The following is a 23624-nucleotide window of genomic DNA, read 5'->3' on the forward strand; positions in this document are numbered from 1 at the left end:
GTAAATACCGCCAGCACCTTTGCTGTCTAATCGCACTGTGTTCACACCTATGTCCCCCACTTTCAAGACTTCACGCTTTGGAAAAGCGTCAACTATCTTTCAAGGCCTAATTCAAAGCCACCTCCTCCATGAAGACCATCAAAACCACAACCCTCACTCAGTAACAGTGAATCGCCCCTTGCAATGTACAACCACAGTACGCTAGCTTCCCTCTCCTCCTGCTTTGTTTTTATTCTGCTTTGAAAAGGTCTGTGTCTAAACTCTCTTTGTGTTTCTTTTTTCTTTTTTTCTTTTTCTTTTTTCTTTTTTTTTTTTTTTTTTTTTGAGACAGAGTCTCACTCTGTCACACAGGCTGGAGTGCAGTGGCATGATCTAGACTCACTGCAAGCTCCGCCTCCCAGATTCAAGTGATTCTCCTGCCTCAGTCTCCTGAGTAGCTGGGACTACAGGCGTGCACCACCATGCCAGGCTAATTTTTGTATTTTTAGTAGAGACGGGGTTTCACCATGTTGGCCAGGCTGGTCTCGAACTCCTGACCTCAAGTAATCCATCCGCCTCGGCCTCCCAAAGTGCGGAGATGACAGGCATGAGCCACCACGCCCGGCCTCTCTTTGCATTTCTGTAGTATGTAGTGAACCTTACATGAATGGTAATGCAAATTGAAAACTGTCTATGACCAGGCGCGCTGCTTTTTATATGTGCAGTGGCAGTTTGTGCCTGTCCAGTGTCAACTCCCTCCGCTTCAGGTAACAGGGCCCCCATCTTCCTCGGAGGAGCTGCCTGCCCCACGTTCAGTCCCTGTAGCTGAGATGATGCTGATCCATCCCCTTTTCCGGGGGTGGACATATGACTCCCATTTGACCAATCAGAGCATAGGGATTCGACGGGAGATGGGCTTGTTACTCAAGGTGGGCCAATCAGAGGCAGAGACCAGTAACCCAGGGGCATTGGCTTGCTCTCTTGGGGATCACGGGCTCTTCTTTTCTGCTGTGATTGCTAAATAGAGAGAACATCAGGCTGAGGCTGCTGGGCCCATTTTTGCCACCATGTGGGGAGAGGCTGCCTGAGAATGCTGCCTTTGGGAGGCAGGTGAGGAAACTAGACAGGAGCGCGGGGGATGCTGGCTTTGTGGAGGCTGGCCTGGGTGCAGCAGAAAGTCACCTGGGGAACAGCACTGCATGGGCACAGCCGGCCCAGAGACAGCCCAGGCTAGGGCTGGTACTGGCACATCCAATTCACAGTCAGCTGGCACAGGCGGGCAAGGCCACAGGTGAGACCACAGCACAGCATGCGGCCGCTGCCTGACTTGTGCCTTCAGAGCAGAGCCCCAGCTCCTGGCAGAAGACTCTGAGACGGGGGCCTGGCCAGCGGCAGGCTGGATGCCAGGGTCCAGGGAGCAGCACTACAGTATGCTGGGAAGAATATCAAATCCATAACGAGACCCGGTGACAACCACTTTCCAGATGGGAAAATCTGCACTTTGCTTGGTTTCTGTTTCATCTGTAAAATGGGATGATACTCTGTATTTCAATGCTAGTGTGAGATTCAGATGAGGTGATATAAATAAAGCACCTAGGACATAGCACCCAAGCAGTGGGGTGATCGCTACTCTGTGGGCGGGGTTTCCAGCCCCAGCAGGAGTGTAGGGGCTCAGGAAAGCAGACCCTGATGGAGTGGCTAGAAACTGAGGCTGCAGCTCAGCTCTGACCTGGTCACTGTGCTGGGCCATGTTAGAAAGTGAAGCAAGGGCATAGTAGGCGCCTGTAATCCCAGCTACGTGGGAGGCAGAGGCAGGAGAATCACTTGAAACCAGGAGGCGGAGGTTGCAGTGAGCTGAGATTGTGCCATTGCACTCCAGCCTGGAGGACAGAGCGAGACTGTCTCAAAAAAAAAAAAAAAAAAAAAAAAGAAAAGAAAAGAAAAGAAAAGAAAAAGAAAATGAAGCAAGACATCTCAGTCCTCTTTATATGCCCAGAACTAAGCACCACTGTGCCTGGCGAAGAGCGGGACCATAGAAAATATTTGCTGATTTTTTAAAAAATGGAGACTGCCCTTATGTTTGACATCTGCTAAGATTTCCTAAGCCATCTAAAAATCATCTACTTGGGAGAAAGATCAAACTGTGTGGCAGAATGGAAAGGCTACTAGACTTGAAGTCAGAGGACCCAGGTTGAGTTCTGGCCCTGTCCCCATGTCTGCATGACACGGAGCAAGCCCCTTAATTTCTACAAACCTCAGTTTCTTCGTCTGTAAAATGGGGCTAATACTTCAACTACCCCATAAGGACGCGGTCCAGTTTAGAAACTTCTGGTGGCACCGGAAGCCCTAGAGCAAGGGCGTCCACTGAGGCAGCCCAGGCGGACCAGCTGGAGGGGGAAGCCAGATGTGTATGTGACTCAGAGCAGCCAAAGGCCAGGCCAGGAAAAGTGTTGCCGAGTGTCTAGTGTGACAGGTGAGGCAAGGAAAGACACAGGATTGTGAGCAGGAGAGAGAGTGCAATGGGTGGAAGGAGGCCAGGGACACACTTCGGAACCAAGCCTGCGCGACAAGCTGAAAGGTTCCCTCTTACGAGGTTCTCAGTGGGGAGTCTAATAGGTAACATTTATTGAGCACTTACTGTCTGCTCAGCGTTATTCTAAGTGGTTTCATGGGCATTTCCCTTAATCCTCACAAAAACCTTGGGTGGGTGCTATTTTTTCATCCCCATTTCACCTATTAGGAAACCAAGGCATGAAAATCACACAGGAATTTAACTTGTGGCTCGAATTCTTAATGAGCTGAACTACTGTTGGTATACAAAACAGGAGTGGTTATAGTGATGTAAGGAAAGAATATATGTAAATGCATTTTATAAATTGTAAAGTGCCAGCTAATACGTGAGCTGTTGTTCAAAGCATTCAGGGAACTTTTTTGACCTCTAGTAACTCTCCAGAAGCAATGTGTTGGCTAATTATGGTTAAGAAAAGCCAAATCTCTTATTGAGCCTGGCCCTGGAGATGCCACTCTCCCCCGGGAGGTCTTTAGGGCCACACAGGACGGTGGCTGCACAAGTTTGGTGGCCAGTTTGATCTCCACGGCTCCCTGGACTCCCTGCTTCCTGTATGCACTCGAGAAATCAGTGTCCGCTGAGGGCTTCCTCGGTCAAATTCAGCTCAGGCTTAGGGACCACTGGGGCTGCAGGGCAGATGGCAGAGCCGACATGTCTGGGATCTGAATGCTCCTGCCCCTCGTGATCGCGGCATTTCAGAGCCGGAAGTCTCCCTAGAATTCTCCCCAGTCCACAAGACTTGCCAGGCATGGATAGAGCTATCTCGGAGCACTGAGGGCCTCCCTGTGGCAGGTGGCAGGAATGTGCTGTGGGCTTCCGGGACACAGGCACGGTGACCTTCTGCAGGGCTCTGCAGGCCAGGAGTGAGAGGCCTTAGGCTGACCTCACCAAGACCCACAGTGAAGACAGAGGAACGATGTGTGGGTGGGAGATTCTGGGGAGCCAAGCCGACCAGAAGGGAAACGCATGACTAAGTTCAGCGGGGCAGGCAGAGAGGAAGTGTGGGGGTGGAGGAGGCCGCAGAGCAACACAAGAGGAGAGATCCCCAGTCGGGAGGGTAAAAGGGGACGGGGTGGAGGGCTGCAGTGAAAGCAAAGGGACAGCAGTGACCAGAAGGGGTTTTAGAGGACATGGAGGTGGACGGGGTCTCAGCTGAGATAGTATTTAAGGGTGCTCTTTGGGGTAAAAGTGCCCCAGAAACGACTGGGTAAGACCTTTGAAGGTTCTCCAGAAAGGATTTTGAGGTGTTGGAATGAGTGGAGGGAGAGATAAAACTATGAGACCCAGAGTGTCATGGGGAATGACACCACCAGGGAGAGAGAGGACAGCACATGCGAGTGGCTTGGACTCCTCAAGGGGAGTAGCCAGCTGTGACAAGGTGGGGGGCTGGAAGGCAGCCTTAGTGGTGGGAACGGATGGACCTAACTCCAGGCCACAGGCAGAAGTCCAGTTGGATGGATGGAAAGCGAGCCAGGGAAAATAGTAAAAGCCTGCAGGTCTGGTTCAAGGAAAGGATTTCCAGGTATATGAGGTCAAGAACAGCCAAGGGGACTCTAGGGAAAGCAGCAAATAAAGGATAAAGGGGTCATCTGGGAAGGCAGGTGCAGGCTTGGGGAGAAGACTGGGGAAGGTGGAGCAAGGTCCTGGACAGGCTGGCAAGAGGGGAACCCAGCACTGGAGCTGAACCGGGAGGGGAGCCCTGACTCCGGAAGCCAGCTGTGCACTCCAGGTCGGGGAATGATCCTGCTGGGTCTGTTGCCTGAGTTCACTTGGGCCTGACAACCAGCCCAGGGTCCCTATCTGGGATTTCCTGGGGCCCTTACTGAGGACTGATAGGAAGTACACAGGATGTCAGGTGGAAGCCCCTCCAATCCAGGCCCACGTTATTGGACTCAGTCAACATGCCAGTGTGGAAACAGATCTGAGATCTCGGCTCCTGAACTAATGGAGCTCAGTGGGGCAAGGCCACTGCCCTTCTGCTGCTCTTCAAGAGCCCAGAGAACCAGGAGCCCTTTCACAGGCTGGCCCCTCCCAAAGGTCACTTCTGTGGTGATCATAAGCCCATGATGATGTGGACACCCCTGAATTTACAGGCTCTGCAGGGAATTCTCACTACTGTCTCACGTTGCTAAAATAAAGAGAGCTCCTCTCAGAAACACAGAAGCGTGATGGAAACCTACACTGTCACAGAGAGCACAGGGGACTTTCTGACTTGGACCCTTCCTCTTGCTGTTGGCCCTGGGGCTTCCCTCAGGCCCTTCCTTCTGCCTTTCAGACCCACTGGCCACAGTGCAGTTCATGCCTCCACCTCCCCCACTCCCCCAACACACACACACACAAACACACTCGGACCACCTTCAGGAAAGCAGGAACCGTGAGCCCAGGGAGGAAGTGGAGTGAGGAAAGCGCTTCTCTCCTCACCATCTCTCCTCCAAACCCCAGCTCCGGCGGGCAGAGGGAGAAGGGACCACAGTGCTGAAATAGTAACAGAACACAAGAGGCAAGGGGCTCCCATGCACATCCTTCTGTCTTCTTCTCCAGTCCCTGGGCCGCCCCAGCTTAGTCCCCAGGAGCACCCTGACCAAGGCTCGCTCAAGGTCAGGAGCAGCATGAGGCTGAGGCCCATGCCCTGCTCTAGGAGGAAGGAAGCAAGTTCTTGCCATCTGAGCTGGAATTGCAATGGCAGCAGTACCTCCAAGATGGAATTATAGTTCTCAAATGGCATTCTATCTCGGGGTCACAAAAGGACATCATAGATTTCTGTGGACTATATGAGATGTGACAGACCCCCCCGTATAAAGTCAATCAGCCTGCCCTTCACCTTTCATTAATTCAGAAGAATTTACTGAGCACCAACTACAAGCTAGGCAGGGTCCCTGCCCTCAAGGAGCTAAACAGACTAGAGGTAAGCACAGAAACAGACAGAAATCCCGTGTGACCAAGCTGTGCCGGTGGAGCGCTCGGAGTGCATTTTCATGTCTCTGTACACTGGGGACGGCGTATGCAACACAAAAACACTGAACTCGTGTGTTTCTGCTTCTGAAATAGTACACGAATAGTTCGTGAGAAAGCTGAAGGGAATTACAGAATGATGTACGGTCAGCCCTTGTTCATGAAGAACAAAAAATTCTAGATGTCTGGGCTGGCTGCGAGGCGATAAACGGGAACTTTTATATTCTAAGGATTTAGCTTCCATTTGCAAAGAAAAATGTTTATTTCTTGCAGTATATTTTTGTGTCTTTGGAGAATGCTCTGGCTGTGGATGTTTGCGATGGGCCAGGGATATAAAGTTGACACCTGGACACTGGGGCTGGTTGAAGCTCCACCCACATGAGTCAGAGAAAGGCAGATCCACCTGGTGGGAGGAGCAGGAGAGAGTGGGAAGATCCTGAAACAAGGCAAAGCCTGGGCTCGGCCTTTCAGGACACAAGCTGCAACAGGAAGTGTGAGAATGGGACTGCCCCAGCACACGCCGAGTGGGGATAGGGAAAGGCAGGAAGATGAGCTCAGGTAAACTCCAAGTTTGTTTGGTCAAATTATCTCCTCCTGTGCCTCGTTTTATTCATCTATACAATGGGAACAATGATGCTCTCCACCTCACAGAGATGAGGTGAGGATTAAATAAGTTACTACATGGCAAGCACGGAGAGCAATGCTCTAGTAGGTGCTCAATAAATGTTAGCTTTTATTGTCACTAATTTTTTTCTCGGGGGGAAGGGGTGGCAAATAATCCACTATAGTCATATCACATATAAAAGTATTCTCAGTGGTTTCTGTAAATCACATTTCACTTTGCCTGTGGGAAAAAAAGGAGATGTAAGTTATTTAAAATAGGCACATACTTTAAAATATTGGGTTTATTTTAAAAACTCAGCACAGTACAAACTGCCACACAAATTACTTTATACTAGCAACAACCGGTGCTCCTATTAATTCAAGTGTACACATTTAACTCCCCAGGTTAAACACCCTGTAATTTACCTTGAAGCTCTTTACATTCTGAAGTTATATAAAATTAAGCAGGAAAACATTAACATTAAATGAAAATCAATTTTGCACAAATAAGTGTGATCAAGCAGCTTAAATCACCTGAAATTCTTGTACTTCAGAGAAAAATCCCAGATGACGGCACTGGACAGGTTATAAAGAGTTCCCTTATTCCCTGGGGGCGTCTCAGGCATTCTTTCTGCATGTTTCCTTCACTGAGCCTCAGGCTACGAATTGAGAGAAAGTCTTTCCAGGCAGTGGCCTGATTCTTACGCACATTCCGTTTCTTTTTCTGAATTCAGAGTTTCTGAAAACACAGGCTTTTCTCTTGGAAAACATGATCTGTAAGATGTTGGAGGACCAGGCTATGATGGTTCTTAAGTTTCTTCCTTTCTCTGGGGAGACACAGAGGTCTTCGCGCCATCCATCTGTTCCCTACTCCCACTTGGGTTCCTTTGTGGTATGAAATAGAGACACTTCTGACCTCATCGGAGACACAGCGAGGTCTGTACCTTCACCCAGGCACAGGAGAAGGCCTGGTCCTCTCCTGATTCCTCAAACTTCCTCTGAATCCAGAGAAAGTTTTTTATACCAGATTGTGTCAACACACAGCAATAAAATATGCTGAGGAACTAAAAATGTGAAAATCACCTAGGAATGGAACGTTGAAGAAATGTGTGTCTATTATTGTGCACTGACAGCCAGGGGGCTCCTGTTTGGAATAAACTGCAGCAGAGGAGAGGTTTGGCAGCACAGCCAGACTGTGCTCTCCCTGAGTCTACAGCCTAGTAGGGCCAGAGGTCCTGACAGGAAATCGCCAAAGATGCAAAACAGGGGCCCCGTGATGGGACCAGCTAGTAGCCGCACTTGTGTTGGTATCAATGCCAGCAAGGGTTCAACAGCAACCTGAATCCTTGTGTGAAATATACGTATCGATTATCTTTCAAAACATTTTCATCACCAAACTGAGCCAGAGGAATGAACATGGTATTTCAATAGGAAAAGTACACATTCTGAAAATATTGCCATAATCAAGTTGTGTTGCCTGGGCACTGATAAGTGTGATACATTGCATCATACATTTCCAGAACCATTGCCATGACAAAAGAAAATGCAAAGTGAGGATGACCTCCCCGGCACTGCCTTCCTTTCAGTGGGCAGCACCTTCTGGGCCTGGATGGACAGCTGAGGATGAAAATTTCCTGTGGGCCAAAACAAAGGGTGGTGCCATCCCTTCTCCAGTGTGACACAAATGGCCTCGCCTCAGAGAGCCTTTATGTAGCAGCCTCTAAGAATTCTGAGGTGAACACAGCTTCTGCATAATCTTCGCACATATCCTGAAGTTCAGCAGCCACAGCACCCAGAGCTTCATCTACCAGCTCTTCTGAAAAGCTGGAAGACAAACAACACAACTAAAGGTATGTACAAGGCCAGGCGCGGTGGCTCACACCTGTCATCCCAGCACTTTGGGAGGCCAAGATGGACAGATCACCTGAGGTCAGGAGTTTGAGACCAGCCTGGCCAACATGGTGAAACCCGGTCTCTACTAAAAATACATAAAATTAGCCGGGCGTGGTGGCATGCACACCTATAAACCCTGTTACTCAGGAGGCTGAGGCAGGAGAATCGCTTGAACCTGGGAGGTGGAGATTGCAGTGAGCAGAGATCACACCACTGCACTCCAGCCTGGGCAACAGAGTGAGATTCCGTCTCAAAATAAATAAAATAAAATAAAGGTATGTACAGCCATATATGGGAGCCATTCTTTTACTCAGCTGTGGAAATTAACAAGTCAATTCTGAAATCTAAATGGAAATTCAGAAGGCCAAGAACAGCCAAGATACTTTTTTTTTTTTTTTTGAGACGGAGTCTCGCTCTGTTGCCCAGGCTGGAGTGCAGTGGCACCATCTCGGCTCACTGCAAGCTCCGCCTCCCGGGTTCACACCATTCTCCTGCCTCAGCCTCCTGAGTAGCTGGGACTACAGGAGCCCGCCACCACGCCTGGCTAATTTTTTGTATTTTTTTAGTAGAGATGGGGTTTCACCATGTTAGCCAGGATGGTCTCAATCTCCTGACCTCGTGATCCGCCTGCCTTGGCCTCCCAAAGTGCTGGGATTACAGGCATGAGCCACTGTGCCCGGCCAAGATACTTTTGAAGAAGAAAAACAAGGTGAGAGGCCCTGCTCTCCTAGACAGAAGGATGGTGGTGCTTAGATCCCAAAGTCCTGCTAGAGGGACAGGCCTAAAACATACACAGGATGGACTTCATCCTCAATGTGTTTGAAACCAGAGGCGACCAGAAACTAACCAGCTGCAACCTAGCCCCACCTCTAACAGCTGCCTGACCGGCCGACGGAGGAAGGGGTGTGCCTTCTCTGTAGGAGACGGGGGAGGACACTAGGGGACTCTGCACGGGTGCTCCTCTGTACACACACACACACACACACACACACACACACCTTCATTTTCTGAACGGCGCAAGCTTCGTATCTCCCAAGTAGCCCTACAAACAAGGACATTCTCTTAAATAACTATGGTACAATTATAACAATTATAAAATTAACATTGATACAAAACTAGTATCTATTCTACAGGCCTATCTATCTACAGGCCTTATTCAAATTTTGCCAACCATCCAAATAATTTCCTTCAAAAGAAATTTTTTGCTAGTCCAAGGTTCCAGTCTGGGATTCCATGTCGCATTTTGTTGTCACAGCTCTTTAGTCTACTGTAATCTAATAGTCCTTCAGTCTTTCTTTGCCTCTCATGACCTTAACATTTTTTAAAGAATAAAAGCCTTTTTTTGGGGGGGTGGGGAGAATATCCCTCAATTTGGGTTTTTTCCTTATGATCAGATTCAGGACATACGGTTTTGAAAGAGATGCCACAGAAGGATAGTGTGTCCCTTCAGTGCACCATGATATCTATTTGATATCCATTAATGATGTCAGTTAATTTTGCATCACTGGGTTACGGTGATGTCTGCCAGGTTTCTCCCTTGTAAAGTTACTGTTTTCCCCTTTGTAATTAATAGGTATAGTGGAGGGAGATACTTTGAGACTATGTAAACTCCTGTTTCTCATGAAATTCGCCTAAATCAATTATTACAGGGTTGCCAAACACGGATTTTCTACTTCCATCACTTCTTCTCCATTTAATAGCTGGCATTCTACTGTAATGAAAGCTTTCCCTTGTCTTTTACTTATGTATTCATTCCTATCAGTTTGGCCTTATAGATTTTTATTTTATTGTATAGTTTGTAATCCATTACTATTATTACATATTTCGATGCTTGAAAATGTCCTGGATTTGGCCCGTAGGTGCCTCTTGGGAACTCCTGTGAACTCTCGACATGTCCCCATCTTTCTTTGAGCACTTCCTTTCTAGCACAGTATGTCTGAGGCTTATCTTACATTTTTCCAGCCCCAGGCTTATAGTCAGCCATTCTTCCAAGAAGCCCTCGTGCCTCTTCATCTGGTGCCTCTTCATGGAGAACGGTATTTAGAAACCAAGATGTGGGTACTGGGTGTGCTCACTGCTACTGGCACCTCTGCTTCTGGGCCTTCTCAGCAGACAAACTAAGAAACACCCTGTATCTATTTCTACGTCTATAAAAAACCATATATTCATCCCAGCCTTCCCCTAGAAACCTTGCTCCCATTATTCACAATGTACTTACTTATTTGACCAATCCTAAAATATAGAGAAAATAGTTTTCAACTGTTAACCCATGTCACTGTATAAAAGAAACCTACAAACTAGAATCCAGTTATGTGTTTACAGTTCTTTTTGTCTTTAGCCAGAGGTAAAGAGTCAACATACTGTGTTCAAAAGTTATTTAGGCTTCATGCCGTTAATATGATTATATTATTTATTTGAAATACAGTTAAGTTCATGTTTCTGTTTGTATTCGACTTAAGGCCCCCGCCCCATCCCTGTTGACTAAGGGGATGTATAAGAAACATTAACATGGTTTCAAAAGTCAGAGTTACACAAAAATGGTAAATGCAGATAAGTTTCACTCCCCCTCTCCTATTCCTTCTACCCCATTCCCACCCAGTTTTTGTTTTTTCGCTAATCTGACAATCTTTTGTCTTTTAATTGGCATGTAAGGTCCTTTTTCATTTAATGTTATTCTGATTTGAGTTTATGCTTCTAAAATAATAGGCATTTTCTATATTTGTCTCTTTGTTCTCTCTTCTTTCTTGGTTTCCTTTAGATTTTGTAATTTTTAAACTACATTTGCTCTTCTCTATTGACTTGGACATTACACACACTTTTATGATTCTTTAAGTGGCCACCCTGGATTACAACAAGTATCCATGACTTGACGTCTAACATTAATTGATATTCTTACCTTTTTTCCCATACAATGCAAGAACCTTAGAATACGAACTCTATTCCCTTCCTGACTTATATTCTTACATACTATTGTTACTGTATATTTTAAACGTGTGAGTACACATACACACGCATCCATAAAACATCAGTATTGTTTCATACAGCCAATATTCACTTTAACCTACCTATTTACCTATTTTTAAAATTCATGCCTCCCTATATTTCTGACCTTCCATCTGTGACTGTTTTCTTTCTTCCCCCAAAATACCCTTTTTAATATTTCCTACAGTGAAGGTCTACTGCTAATTCAGCTTTGTTAAGAAACTCTTTTCTCACCTTGCCTTTTGATGTATCTTTCACTGGGCTTAGAACTCCAGACTGGTAGTTCTTTTCGTTTGGAATTTTAAAAGATGCCAGGTCTTCCAGTTTCCACTGTTTTTGTTTATCTTGATTTTTCTTCCTCCAGCCGATTTTAAGATTTTCTCTATCTGTGATTTTTCAGCAATATTGAGTATGGATTTCTTTTTATTTTCCTTGCTTGGGGTTTTTGGAGCTTCTTGAATCTACGGCTTGATGTCTTTTGCTACTCTGGGGAAGTGATGGCCATTATCTCTTGGGATGTTGTTTGTGACTCGTTTTCTCTCTCTCCTGACCTGAGATTCCAACAACACGTTAGACCTTCTTACCTCCTCTATGTCCCTTTCCCTCTCTTCTTCACTTTTCGTCTTTTTTTGTGTGTCTCCGGGAATCACTCTGGATATTTTCTTCTGTCCTATGTTCCAAGTCTCTAATATTTTCTTCTGTTGTGTCTAATTTGCTATTGAGCCCAACCAATGAATTCTTCATTTCAGAAACTTTATCTTTCATTCTAGAATGTCCATTTGGATTTTGTTTAGTTCCCAGTTCTATGCCAAAGTTCTAATTCATGTCTTTTATTTCTATGAATGCACTAGGCACAGTTATTTTAATGTCTGTGTCTGATAGCTCTAATGTTTGTATCTGCCGTAGGTCTGTTCTTGGTATTGTCTTGTCCCTCTGTTGCCTGGTTATTTTTCACCATATACTAGACAATGTATTCAACAGTCGTAGAAATAAATTGATTTCTAAGATGATGTTATTTTCCTCCAGAGAAAATTTATGTTTTCTAATGCATGGTGCCTGTGGGGCAGTAACAATCTAGAATCACCTCAATCCAATCTGAGATAATTTGGAGCTGAGTGGAGTCCCTGAGAAGGCCTATTTACATCCAGGTCACCTGTACTTCCAGAGTGCAATCTTTTAGGAGCTCAATTAAAAGTGAAGAAAGTTCACCAGGACAATTCCCCCACTTTAGCAACCCGTGAATTCCAGCCTCTGTCCTCTGTTCTGAAAAGGCTGTCAGAAGTGCTGCTCATCTCCCTACAAACTGACTATCCAGTGCTCAACAAAGGGCTAACCTCCCCAGGGCTCTGTCTTCTCCAGGACCCTGGCCCAGTTATTCTTCATTACCTAGTTAACTTCTTGATGCCTTCAAGAATATAGGTTTTATTTTTAATACAGCTTTTCTATTAACAGTTATCCTCAGTGGGAGAGGTGGTCCAGATTACCAAGTGCGTCATCACTAGAAGCAGAAGTGATTGCCTCGTTTTTATGTTTGCTTCACTTTCTATATTCCTATCACTAATTTATACCCAAACTGTGAGAGAAATACAAGGGTACTTCTGCTACATTCCAACACATTAGGTACTGTATCTGTTTTTCTTCTTCTTCTTCCTTCTTTAATCTTCCCCGTTCTGCATTTCCCCTTGTGGAACCATCCCTGCTGGAGTGCTCTTTCCCACTACTCTAATCTGGATTAGTTCTTTTCTATGCTCACTGAAAAATCTTGTCCTGGAAAGGTTTTTGCCATTCTTCTGGAAGTTCCACGGTAGAGTCTAAGTTTACTAAAACTCAAGTCTTCCTCTTTATGTACATCTTGCATTGGTAATCTAGATCTTCCAGTAGCATGTGAACTAAATTTTTAAACACTTTGCCCACCTGAAAATGTGTTTTTGTTTGGAGTGCAGTGGTGCCATCTCAGCTCACTGCAGCCTTGATTTCCTGGGCTCAAGCAATCCTCCCACCTCAGCCTCCTGAGTAACTGGGACTACAGGCATGTACCACCATGCCCAGCTAATTTTTTGTTTTTTGTAGAGAAGAAGTCTCACCTTGGGCTGGTATCAAACTCCTGGGCTCAAGCAATCCTCCTGCCTCAGCCTCTCAAAGTGCTGAGATTAGATGTGAGCCACCATACCCGGGCCCTAAAAATGTTTCTATTCTATCTGCCCTTATCTTTAATTGATAATTTATCTGAGCACATGCTAGGTTAAATTTTGGAAGTAGGCTCTAATATCTTCTAGCTTCTGGTGTTATTAAAAACAATATGCCATTCTCATTTCTGATTATTTGAATGTGTACAGTTTTTACCCTCTGGAATCTTTTGTCATCTTTCTTTTCCTTATATTGAGATGCTCAAATTTCCTTTTCATAATGATGTGCCATGGTGTGTTCTGTTCTATTCATTTATTCCTTCACTCACTCACTCACAAGTAGACAACTGATGAACCCTTTCAATCTAAAGACTAACAGTCTTCTGGGAAATTTTCTTATAGCATTTCTCTGATAATTTCCCATTGCTCCTTTTTCCTTTTTCCCACATTCTGGAACTCCAGTGATTCAGATGTTGAATCTCCTAGAACGGCTTCTAATTTTAAAAATATTTTATTCTCTATTATCTAGCTTCTTGTCTTTTTATTCTACTGCCTGAGACATTTGACATTTTCTTTGGATCCTTCCAGTGAGTTTACTTGAGCCATCATGTTTTTAATTTCTAAGAACTTTCTTTTTATTCCCTGGAAGTTCCTTTTTTATAGTATCCTGTTCTTGTTTCATGATATAACAGTTTCACTTAGCTCTCTGAGAATATTAATTCTAGTCTGTTTTTAATGTTTTATTCTTCTCACTGTATTGTCTGCTTTGCTTCCTCAGAGTGCTTATCTGATATAATAGCCTATGTATCTTTTATCAAATATCTGGTCATCTCAGGTCATCTGCTCATTTTCAAAAATAAGAATGTCAACCAAGCCTCCTATTTCCTGACTCATCTATTGATACAGTTTGTATATTTGTTCCCGCTCAAATCTCATGATGAACTGTAATCCCCACTGCTGGAGGTGGGGCCTGGTGGGAAGTGTTTGGATCACGGGAGAGGATCCCTCATGCTTTGGTGCTGTCTTTCTTCATGATAGTGAGTTCTCATGAGATCTGGTCATTTAAAAGTGTGTGGCATTCTCCCCCACCCCTTGCTTGCTCCTTCTTTTGCTATGTGATGTGACTGTTCCCCACTTTGTCTTCTGCCATGACGGTACGTTTCCTGAGGTGTCCCGAGAAGCCAAGCATATGCCAGCACCATGCTTCCTGTAAAGCCTGCAGAACTGTAAGCTAATGAAACCTCTTTTCGTTATAAATTACCCAGTCTCAGGTATTTATAGCAATGCAAGAATGGCCCAATACACCTACACCCATGCATTCACAAGCATCTGATGCTTCTAATTCCTGAGTCTCAACCAATGTTCTTTACAGATAAACTTGGTTCTTGCCTTCATCCTCATTAGGCACTTAGCTTTCTCTAGCCTGCTAAGTCAGTCACCATTGTCTAACTGCTTTATGGCTTCCAAATTTTTATTGATATTTCTTGTTTGCTGTCATTGATGGTTTCATGTGTTTTATTCATTCTTGTAGTGACATATAGTGGGATAGAGATATAGGAAGTAAAGAGAAACATATACATTCATCTGTCCTTTTCAACCAGAATTCACTTGATTGTTTTTCAAGCCAGGAATTCTTAAGAGTTTGCTTTCAATAAGAGCACTGTCACCTTAAGCCTTTCCTTTCATATCACTCTTTTATTTGCATTCAGTTTATATCACCTGCTCAAGCTAATTGCTGGAACAGTGCTTTTCTTCAGGTATAAAGAGGAATAAAGACATTAAAAGAAAGGAAAAAACTCAGCTTTCTCCTTACCCAAGAGGCTTTAGATGAAGTCAACTGTCTTTGGATGCTTTTTAAAGATCTGATCAATATAACTCTCATCTTTGGAATATTCAAATCATAAACTAAAAAAGAAGAGATAGTGGCTCATGCCTGTAATCCCAGCACTTTGAGAGGCTGAGGCGGGTGGATCACCTGAGGTTATGAGTTCGAGACCAGCCTGGCCAACATGGTGAAACCCTTTTACTAAAAACACAAAAATTAGCCAGGTGTAGTAGCCAGTACCTGTAATCCTAGCTACTCAGGAGGCTGAGGCAGGAGAATCACTTGAACCCAGGAGGCGGAGGTTGCAGTGAGCCGAGATTGTACCACTGCACTCCAGCCTAGGTGACAGAGTGAGACTCCATCTAAAATAAAATAAAATAAAATAATAAAAAAAGAAGAGATAAAAATGAAACAGAGCTAGACTGTTCATATGCACTGTCACTTGGGGTCAAAGAACAGCAGAGGAAAATATTGTAAAAATCCAGGCATATTTTAATAGCTCTGTCCTCTACATTTTAACCTGTTATTCTTTATAGGCTGAGAGATTTTCCCTACATCCACCTAACAACTGTGAACAAAATGTGTCATTTGATCAGGTGGTAAGAACACACAAGGAACAGTCTATCTTCCTTGGCTTGCTTTTGGGTTTCCCAATATCCTGGTTAGCCTAAGCAAGCCAGACAGGTTACAAGAAAATGAGTACATATGCTACAGGAGCGCGTGTTAACAAAAGGAAGCAAGTCGCGTTTACTTCTTCTCTTCTCCCAGATAATCCTTCAGAATACATGTGAAGACAAATTTGTGTCTCTACCAGAACAAAGCATCTTATATACTTTGAAGGGTACTATCATATATACCAAAGAAAAGTCTCAGGACTTCAGGGTCAACCTGAGGGCCTAAACACAAGTGATTATCCCTGATCCCACCCAAAATCCCACTTGAATACAAGGAAATAAATAAATACATAAATCTACAAAAAGAGACACACGTGAGTGAGAAATGCCCAAGATTTTCAGAAGATAAACGCACACAGAAGAATCATAACTGATTTAGCAGCATAGAGGGAGCTGAAACCTAAGAGTCTGTAAGTGGGGGTGGGAGGGATGCCAGGCAAAAACAAGCTGATTTGTCCTATAAAACATCGTGAAGGCTCAGGAAGTTAAGAGTGCTGAGAATCATGAAGGCAGAGTGCAGTATGGGGTAGAAAATGAGGAGACTGGCTGAAAATTTGCAGAACAAGCTGTTGGACTGACACACTCCACCCCTATTCGCAGCTAAGTGACAATCCCTTCCTCACCCCCACAAAAGAAGGAAGGTATATTCTTTGGAAAAAATAAACCAGTAATTTTAAATTCAGCCAAGTAATCAATCAAGTATGAAGGGAGACACTTTCACACTTGTAAGTTTCAAGAAATTTCCTCCAATACACAAAACAGGATATGCGCCATCAAAATAAGAGTGTAAACCAAGAAAGCGGAAGACAAGGGCATCAGAAAACAGGGAATCTATTACAGGGAGACGTAAGCTAACAGGAAGGGTGATGAGGAAGGGAAGCCCCAGGATGAAAACCATCCAGGAGATCTGGAGAGCAGCCGCCTGGACTCAGGTAGGAGGAAAAGGGGTCTCAGGAGAAAAAGTAAGGGTGGGGCCGATCACAGAGATTAACTGATACTTTTGATCCAGACAAAAATTATATTATTGAGAGGCTGGCTACTGCGTACGTAAAGTTAACAAATATATAAAATAACTAGCAAATAAAAAGAAATGTAATCATAGTACACTACTATGCTACTATATAAATGTAATTATAGTATACTACTTAGCTCAATGATGAAAAATATCTTGCATGTTTGTAACAAGGTGATAACTTGCGAGGAATTTAAATGTGGGCCCTGTTTAAAAAGAATAGATTTACACCTATCTTTTAATTATTTGTACATAAAAAAAGGGCTACCCATTCTTCAAAATTTAGTAGCTACAGGATCTTGTTTTGTGACTCCACAAAACTACCTTACCCACATAAAGAAAGGAGGAGAAGGGTTAAAGAAAATGTTGCAAAATCAGAGGCCTGCTACTGATAAAAGCAAATTTGTCCCCACCAAGAACATGCCATGGTCATGGCTGTTTCCTGCCCAGGAATATTTTGTGTTCTCTGATGGGACAACATTAGCATTAACAGCAACAGGAAATCAGCTCTAACTGACTCCTGAGTATTGTACTTCTATTGTTAGGGGCTGAATGTCTGTGTTTCCCCCATATTCGTATGTTGAAGCCCTAACCCCCAATGTGGTAGTATCTGTGGTGGGGCCTTTGGGAGATAATTAGGTTTAGATGAGGTCATGAGGGTGGAGGTCCCTCAATGGGATCAGTGCCCTTCTGAGAAGAGGAAGAGACCACAGTTCCCTTTCTCTGTCACTTGAGGACACAGCAAGAAGGTGGCCATCTGCAAGCCAGGAAGAGGGCCCTCGACAGACACTCAATCTGCCATCACCTTGATCTTAGACTCCCCAGCCTCCAGAACTGTGAGAAATACATTCTTGTTTAAGTCACGCAGTCGATGGTATTCTGTGATGACAGCCTGAGCTGACTAGAACCCGATGGTATTCTGTGATGACAGCCTGAGCTGACTAGAACCCGATGGTATTCTGTGATGACAGCCTGAGCTGACTGGGACCCTCTGCCTAGAAAAAGAAGGCTGCAGAGCACCCCTGTGGATGGCACCGCCTGTGCTGTTTTACGGTTCCCTGTGTCTGAAAATAGAGAGCCTGTCTCCTAGCCCAAGAACAACCACTGAAACTCCAGGGCCCAAAAGCATATGGGATAAGACCTTGGCTAATGCTTTCTCCAGCTTTTTCTAAGTCTAAAATTTTGCAATTTGGTTCCTAAACAGAGGACCGTAACATTTTACTGACCTTTCAGCTATCAGCCACGGGTTGAAGGAGCCTACAGCCTCATGAGATATGATCCGAAGGTACTGCTCAAAACGACTACAGTAGTCACCGATGCTGTGCTGCATACCCGGTGGGACAAAGAGGGGAGCTCGGCCTTCTTTCTGTTGAGAATCTTCGGCTAGGGAGAGAAGAGGGGCCTCTCTTTTCTCTGATCCTTCCTCTGTTCCCACACTTTCATCCAGGGAACTGAGAACAAATAAAAATGATGAAAGCATTCAAGATCATCTGTAAGCAAGACTAAACTGTTAATTTACCCTCATGGTTTGATAGCCAAAGGCTCATCTTGATTTCTCTTTCTCACAATGAACAAAACTGAACAACCTAACACCATGCGTTGCTTCCCCTTTTCACGGAACCAACCCTCAACATGTGGGACTATCTGTCCCTTAAACAACAGCATTCTTAAAGCAAATCGTGCAGTAAATATCACTACAACCCACATGTACTGATGTGATGCTTTCCACATTAAAAAAACAGCTAAATGTTATTGAATACGGAAAAGCTCCTTAAAATGCAACACACTCAATGCCCATCTTGTAAACATGCTATTTACTCAGCCATCTTGGAGTTTGGCAAGATCTTGCTCAAAGGAAGAATTTCTGTCTGTCTTATGGGAACTGAAAGAATTCAAAATCTAATAACATCAAAGGTGACTGACTAGAATGAAATCAGAAAGTGTCTTTGCCACTTACTTGCCATTACAGGGCCTTTCTAACATGATGTTCACGGCTGGATCCTTGCGATCCACTGTCTTCGTGATTCTGATTGGATGAGGAGATAGAGGCTTTTCACTTATTGCTGAGATTTTTTGGTCTAGAAAAGGAGGGTCATAAAATGACTGCATATAAAGAACAGTTGGTGTCCATTTTAGAGCTGTTCTAGTGGCCAAGAACCTGAGAGCAAGTTACATGGACATCTCTTAAGCACGACAGGGTTGGCTAGCAGTGCAATGGGAAAATGCTCATTTTAAATGCAAAGGTGAATTTATATGTTACAAAGAAACCAATGAGGAATACGTTTTAAGAAATAATGAACTTGCTCTGAGGAAGGTTTCTTAAGGAGGTCTATGAAAAGCCCCAGGCTACATGGCTTCCATTAGGACCCAGCCACCCACTCAAGGAGTCTTAAGCAATTGGGTTTTTTAACCTTTAAATGCGAAGAAGAAGAAGAAGAAAGAAGAAGGAAGAAGAAGGAAGAAGAAGGAAGAAGGAAGAAGGAAGAAGGAAGAAGAAGAAGAAGAAGAAGAAGAAGAAGAAGAAGAAGAAGAAGAAGAAGAAGAAGAAGAAGAAGAAAACACTCACACCTGAACACTTAATTAGTTGATTTAATTTGTCTCTGGGCAATGCTGAAAAAATCTGCATGATGATTGTCAAAACATTAATTTATTAACTATAACTTGCAGGCTTGACAGCTCTTCTGAGTGTCAGATTATTTATAATTTTAAATGTATTTCAAGTGTAGGAAGAAAATTTGTCCTTTTCTTAAGTAGGGAGCATCTATATGTCAAGCGACTTGGCTCACATTTATATGCTTAATTTCTTGCTGTCAGACAGAAGTACGATATAAGTCAGCTTTTGTAAAACTATTACTGAGAGTGCAATCAAATTTTCAATTGTTCTCAGAGGGGATAACAGACACAGATACTGCACAATGAAAAGATCACTTTAAATTGGGTTTTGTGATGAAATTAAACAAACAGAACCACCAGAAACGGAACTCTTACTACGATTCCATGATTCCAGAATGTGTCCAAAACCTCATTTCAGTTCTCAGTGTCCTAGAGAGCTCCTTTTAAATGCATACCTAGACTCTCGGCAGAGTCACAGATAGTGACTAATAATTTAAATCATCCTTGAAAAAAGAGAACACTAAGTCCTCTGTAAGACTGTCTTCTACATGATGCAACCTAACTTTGTGGCCAGTGGCCAAACCATCAGGGAAACGAATTGCCCTCCAACGTTTACCTCTCCTCGGCTTCCACACAGAAAGATGCTAAAATGCCCAAGGGCTGACTAAACAATGATGAAAAGGGCCCTTGCCGGGCCAGTCCCATTCTAGGCACAGTGAGGAACACACAATGACAAACTCTCTGCTTTCAAAGAATCTGTGGCTTAGTTGAGAGAGATGAGACACCTTCACAAATACCTCGAACACATGGTAGGACATGCCAGAAAGTGCTATGGGTGTTCACAGGCCAGGAAGGGAACTAAATTCCAGTGCAGAGATGCCAGGGAAAGCACAGGCCGAGTAGGATCATTGAGCCTGGCCTTGAAGAACAGCTTGACTGTTATGTGAGAATGAAAATAGAGGCTGGAGGAGGATTGAGGGGAAGAGAGAACAACAGTAGCAAAGCACAGAGCACTTGAAAACAGAGAGCACACAAAAGGTAACACATTAGTGTTTTGTTGAGATGGCCCATCTTTTGGTCAAAATTTGAGAGGGGGAGTACTTTTTCTAACACGATACCTCCAAGTCCTATTTTACATGATGACATGCGACACAGGCTGCTGTGGTAAACCTTCCATCCCCCATTTCCTTTTGTCTTCATGAGGGTAGTACTCACGGCGCTTACATTCCTTAGAGGTAATGTTTAACCACACTTTACTCTCCTTTTCTTGAGTAAGGCAGTAACCGATAAGCACAAGTCAAACAGAATTTGAGTAACGTTTCCCAGCCAAAGTGGTGACAGTAACCTAGCCATTGCAGCCCAAATACATATATATACATTTTGAAAAGTGGAGGAGAAAATCAAAAGTCTTTTCAGTAAATGGAACTAGATCACATGGACTTCCATTAGGAAAAAACAAAATGAACCCCAACCTCTACCTCAAATCACAGGCAAACTTTTATGCAAGATGGATCATAGACCTACACATAAAACTAAAACCATAAAGCCTATAGAAGAAAACAAGAGAATCTCTTCCCACTTAGGAGTAGGTAAAGGTTTCTTAGGTCATAGAAAGCAAAAACCACTCAAGAAAGAATTGATGTTAGACTTTATCAAAATTAAAAATGTCTGTTCATAATAAAACATTTTTGGAAATAAGCAGCTGAGCCCATTTTTTTTCCATGGGAAAAAAAAAATTTGTAAAACCTCTATCTAAGTAGACTGGTGGCTGCCCGGGTGGGAGAAAGAAGAATGGGGAGTGAGGAAAATGTTCCAGAATTAGTTGCACAACTATGTGAATATACTAAAAACGAAAGAATTGTACAGTTTAAAAAGGTGAAATTTAAGTATGTAAATTATCTCCTTAAAATTATTTTAGAAAAACAACAAAACAAACAAAAACATGTATCTGGAAAAGAACTTGTACTCAGAATACATAAAGAAGTTCTATGACTCAAAAAGACAAGCAACCCCAAAAAAAAACTGACAAAAGATTTTGGACGCTTCACAAGGGAAGATATACAAATGCCTAATAATCACCTGAAAAGGGGCCAGGTGACGGGGCTCATGCCTGTAACTCTAGCACTTCGGGAGGCCGGGAGCAGTGGTTCACGCCTGTAATCCCAGCACTTCGGGAGGCCGGGCGCAATGGCTCACACCTGGAATCCCAGCACTTCGGGAGGCCGGGAGCAGTGGTTCACGCCTGTAATCCCAGCACTTCGGGAGGCCGGGCGCAATGGCTCACACCTGGAATCCCAGCACTTCCGGAGGCAGGGCGCAATGGCTCACACCTGGAATCCCAGCACTTCAGGAGGCCAGGCGCAATGGCTCACACCTGGAATCCCAGCACTTCAGGAGGCAGGGCGCAATGGCTCACACCTGGAATCCCAGCACTTCAGGAGGCCAGGCGCAATGGCTCACACCTGGAATCCCAGCACTGTGGGAGGCCGAGGTGGGTGTGTCACCTGAAGGCAACATGGCGAAACCCTGGCCAACATGGCAAAACCCTGTCTCTACTACAATTAAAAAATTAGCTGGGCGTGGTGGCACACACCTGTAGTCCCAGCTACTTGGGAGGCTGAGGCAACAAGAATCGCTTGAACTCGGGAGGTAGAGGTTGTGGTGAGCCGAGACTGCACCACTGCACTCCAGCCTGGGGAACAGAGTGAAACTGTGACTCAAAAAATAAAAAAAATCACTTGAAAAGGTTCTAAATATCATTATTCACCTTCACCAGGATGGTTACCACAAAAAAGACTGATGACACCAAATGTTGGCAAGGATGTAGGAAATAGGAGCAAGGCCGCTTTGATAAAGATTTGTCAATTTTTTATGAAGTTAAACACAAACTAATCTAATGATCTGGCAAGTTTGCTATTAGGTATTTATCCAAGAGAAAAACTTAAGATATACACACAGATTATACACATGAATATATTCATAGCAGATTTATTCCTAATAGCCCAAAATTTAGGAGCTGAAAGAAACAAGGAATAGATCCTTCCCTGGAGCCTCCAGAATGAACTTGCCAACACCCTGATTTCAGTCCTTTACCACTCACTTCAGATTCTGACCCCCCCCCCCAGAACTATAGGAGAATAAATTTGTGCTTTAAGCCACCAAATATGTGGCTTAAACTTGTTACAAACTTAAATTTGTTAATAACAGCAAGAGGAAATAAGCAACACAGATTTAATGTATTTATGACATAAATATAGTATTTATAAAACACTATGGTGAATGAAAGAAGTCTAGGCAAAAGAGTACACACCGTATGACTGCATTTATATGAAACTCTAGACAATCAAAGCTAACTCAGAAAGCACAGTGGTTGCCTACGTGGCGGGGCATGAGGGAACTTTCTGAGGTGATATGTTCTATGTCTTGATAGGGGTTTGCATAACAGACATGTATCCAGTTGTCAAAAACCACCAAATAGCACAGTTAGGATCTGTGCATTTTATTATCTGTAAATTTTATCTTGAAAAAAAGAGCCATAAGTAAATATTAAACTCTAGTTGATAATAAGCATGCTGAATATTTAGGGGTAAAGTGTGCTGATATGTGCAACTTTGAAATGCGAACATAAGATGAACTGATGGATGGATAGAGGGATAAATAGGTGACAAAGCAAAGAGAGTGAAATGTTAATTGTAGAATCTAGAAGGTGAGTATAGCAGTGTTTACTATACAATTTTTTCAATTTTCTGTATGTTTGAAATTCTTCAGAATAAAATGTTAGGGGAAAAACATGGGGAAACACTCACCATTGTTTTCTTCCTGCATCCAAAGTCGAGGATCAGCATATGCGATTTTATTATATCTTTGACGAACAGACTCCTGGTATTTCTTTAAAAAAAAAGAAAAAAGTTTAATTTATGAGAAAAAATGAGTTTAATTACAAACCAGAACTGGTAAAGATGTAAAAGTTCAGCAGACACAACTGATACGGACGTACTGCCAGACATGGGCACCTGTCAGGCCAGGAAGTAATTAGTTCATGAGACGAAGTCTAAAATAAAATGAAGCAATTAGCATAAAGGCAATCTAGCCCAGCACTGGCCACTAGAAGCTGCTGCAGTGAGGAAATGTTCTATATGTGCCCTGTCCAATACAGTAGCCACTAACTACTGACTCCTTAGAGTGTATTTAATTTTCATTAATTTACAGTTTAATAAGCACCTGCGGCTAGTGGCTACTGTTTTGAGCACCCCGGGCCTAGACAACTATCACCAAGGGGAGATTTCAAGACTGGGGTAAACTGCGGATCTTTAAACTTTCAAATCCAAAAAAAAAAATTGTTTTCCTTCTAATGTTTCTATCTAGCAGCAAAGCAGAAATTAGATTTAATCATGGT

The 23624-nt window shown here is 43.6% G+C and overlaps 1 protein-coding gene across 15 annotated transcripts in view; it reads right to left on the reverse strand.

Moving 5' to 3' along the window:
- Window positions 6210-23624, reverse strand: part of KIAA0753 — a 62565-nt gene continuing 45150 nt past the window's right edge. For 12 of the 15 annotated variants that reach the window (NR_147086.2, NR_147087.2, NR_147088.2 and 9 more), the window contains 4 exons: window positions 23035-23116; window positions 18573-18693; window positions 17842-18066; window positions 6210-7927 (listed from right to left, as the gene is read on the reverse strand). Coding sequence is in view for 12 of the 15 variants with exons in the window: in NM_014804.3 (NP_055619.2) it covers window positions 7810-7927; window positions 17842-18066; window positions 18573-18693; window positions 23035-23116 (546 nt within the window). In the remaining 3 variants the exon portion in view is untranslated. Of the gene's footprint in view, window positions 7928-17841; window positions 18067-18572; window positions 18694-23034; window positions 23117-23624 lie in introns of those variants that run through there. The other 3 variants (XM_047437193.1, XM_011524096.3, XM_047437194.1) reach the window with 2 other exon arrangements.

This window comes from Homo sapiens, chromosome 17 (assembly GCF_000001405.40).
Source record: "Homo sapiens chromosome 17, GRCh38.p14 Primary Assembly".
NCBI classification, from domain to species: Eukaryota; Metazoa; Chordata; class Mammalia; order Primates; family Hominidae; genus Homo; species Homo sapiens.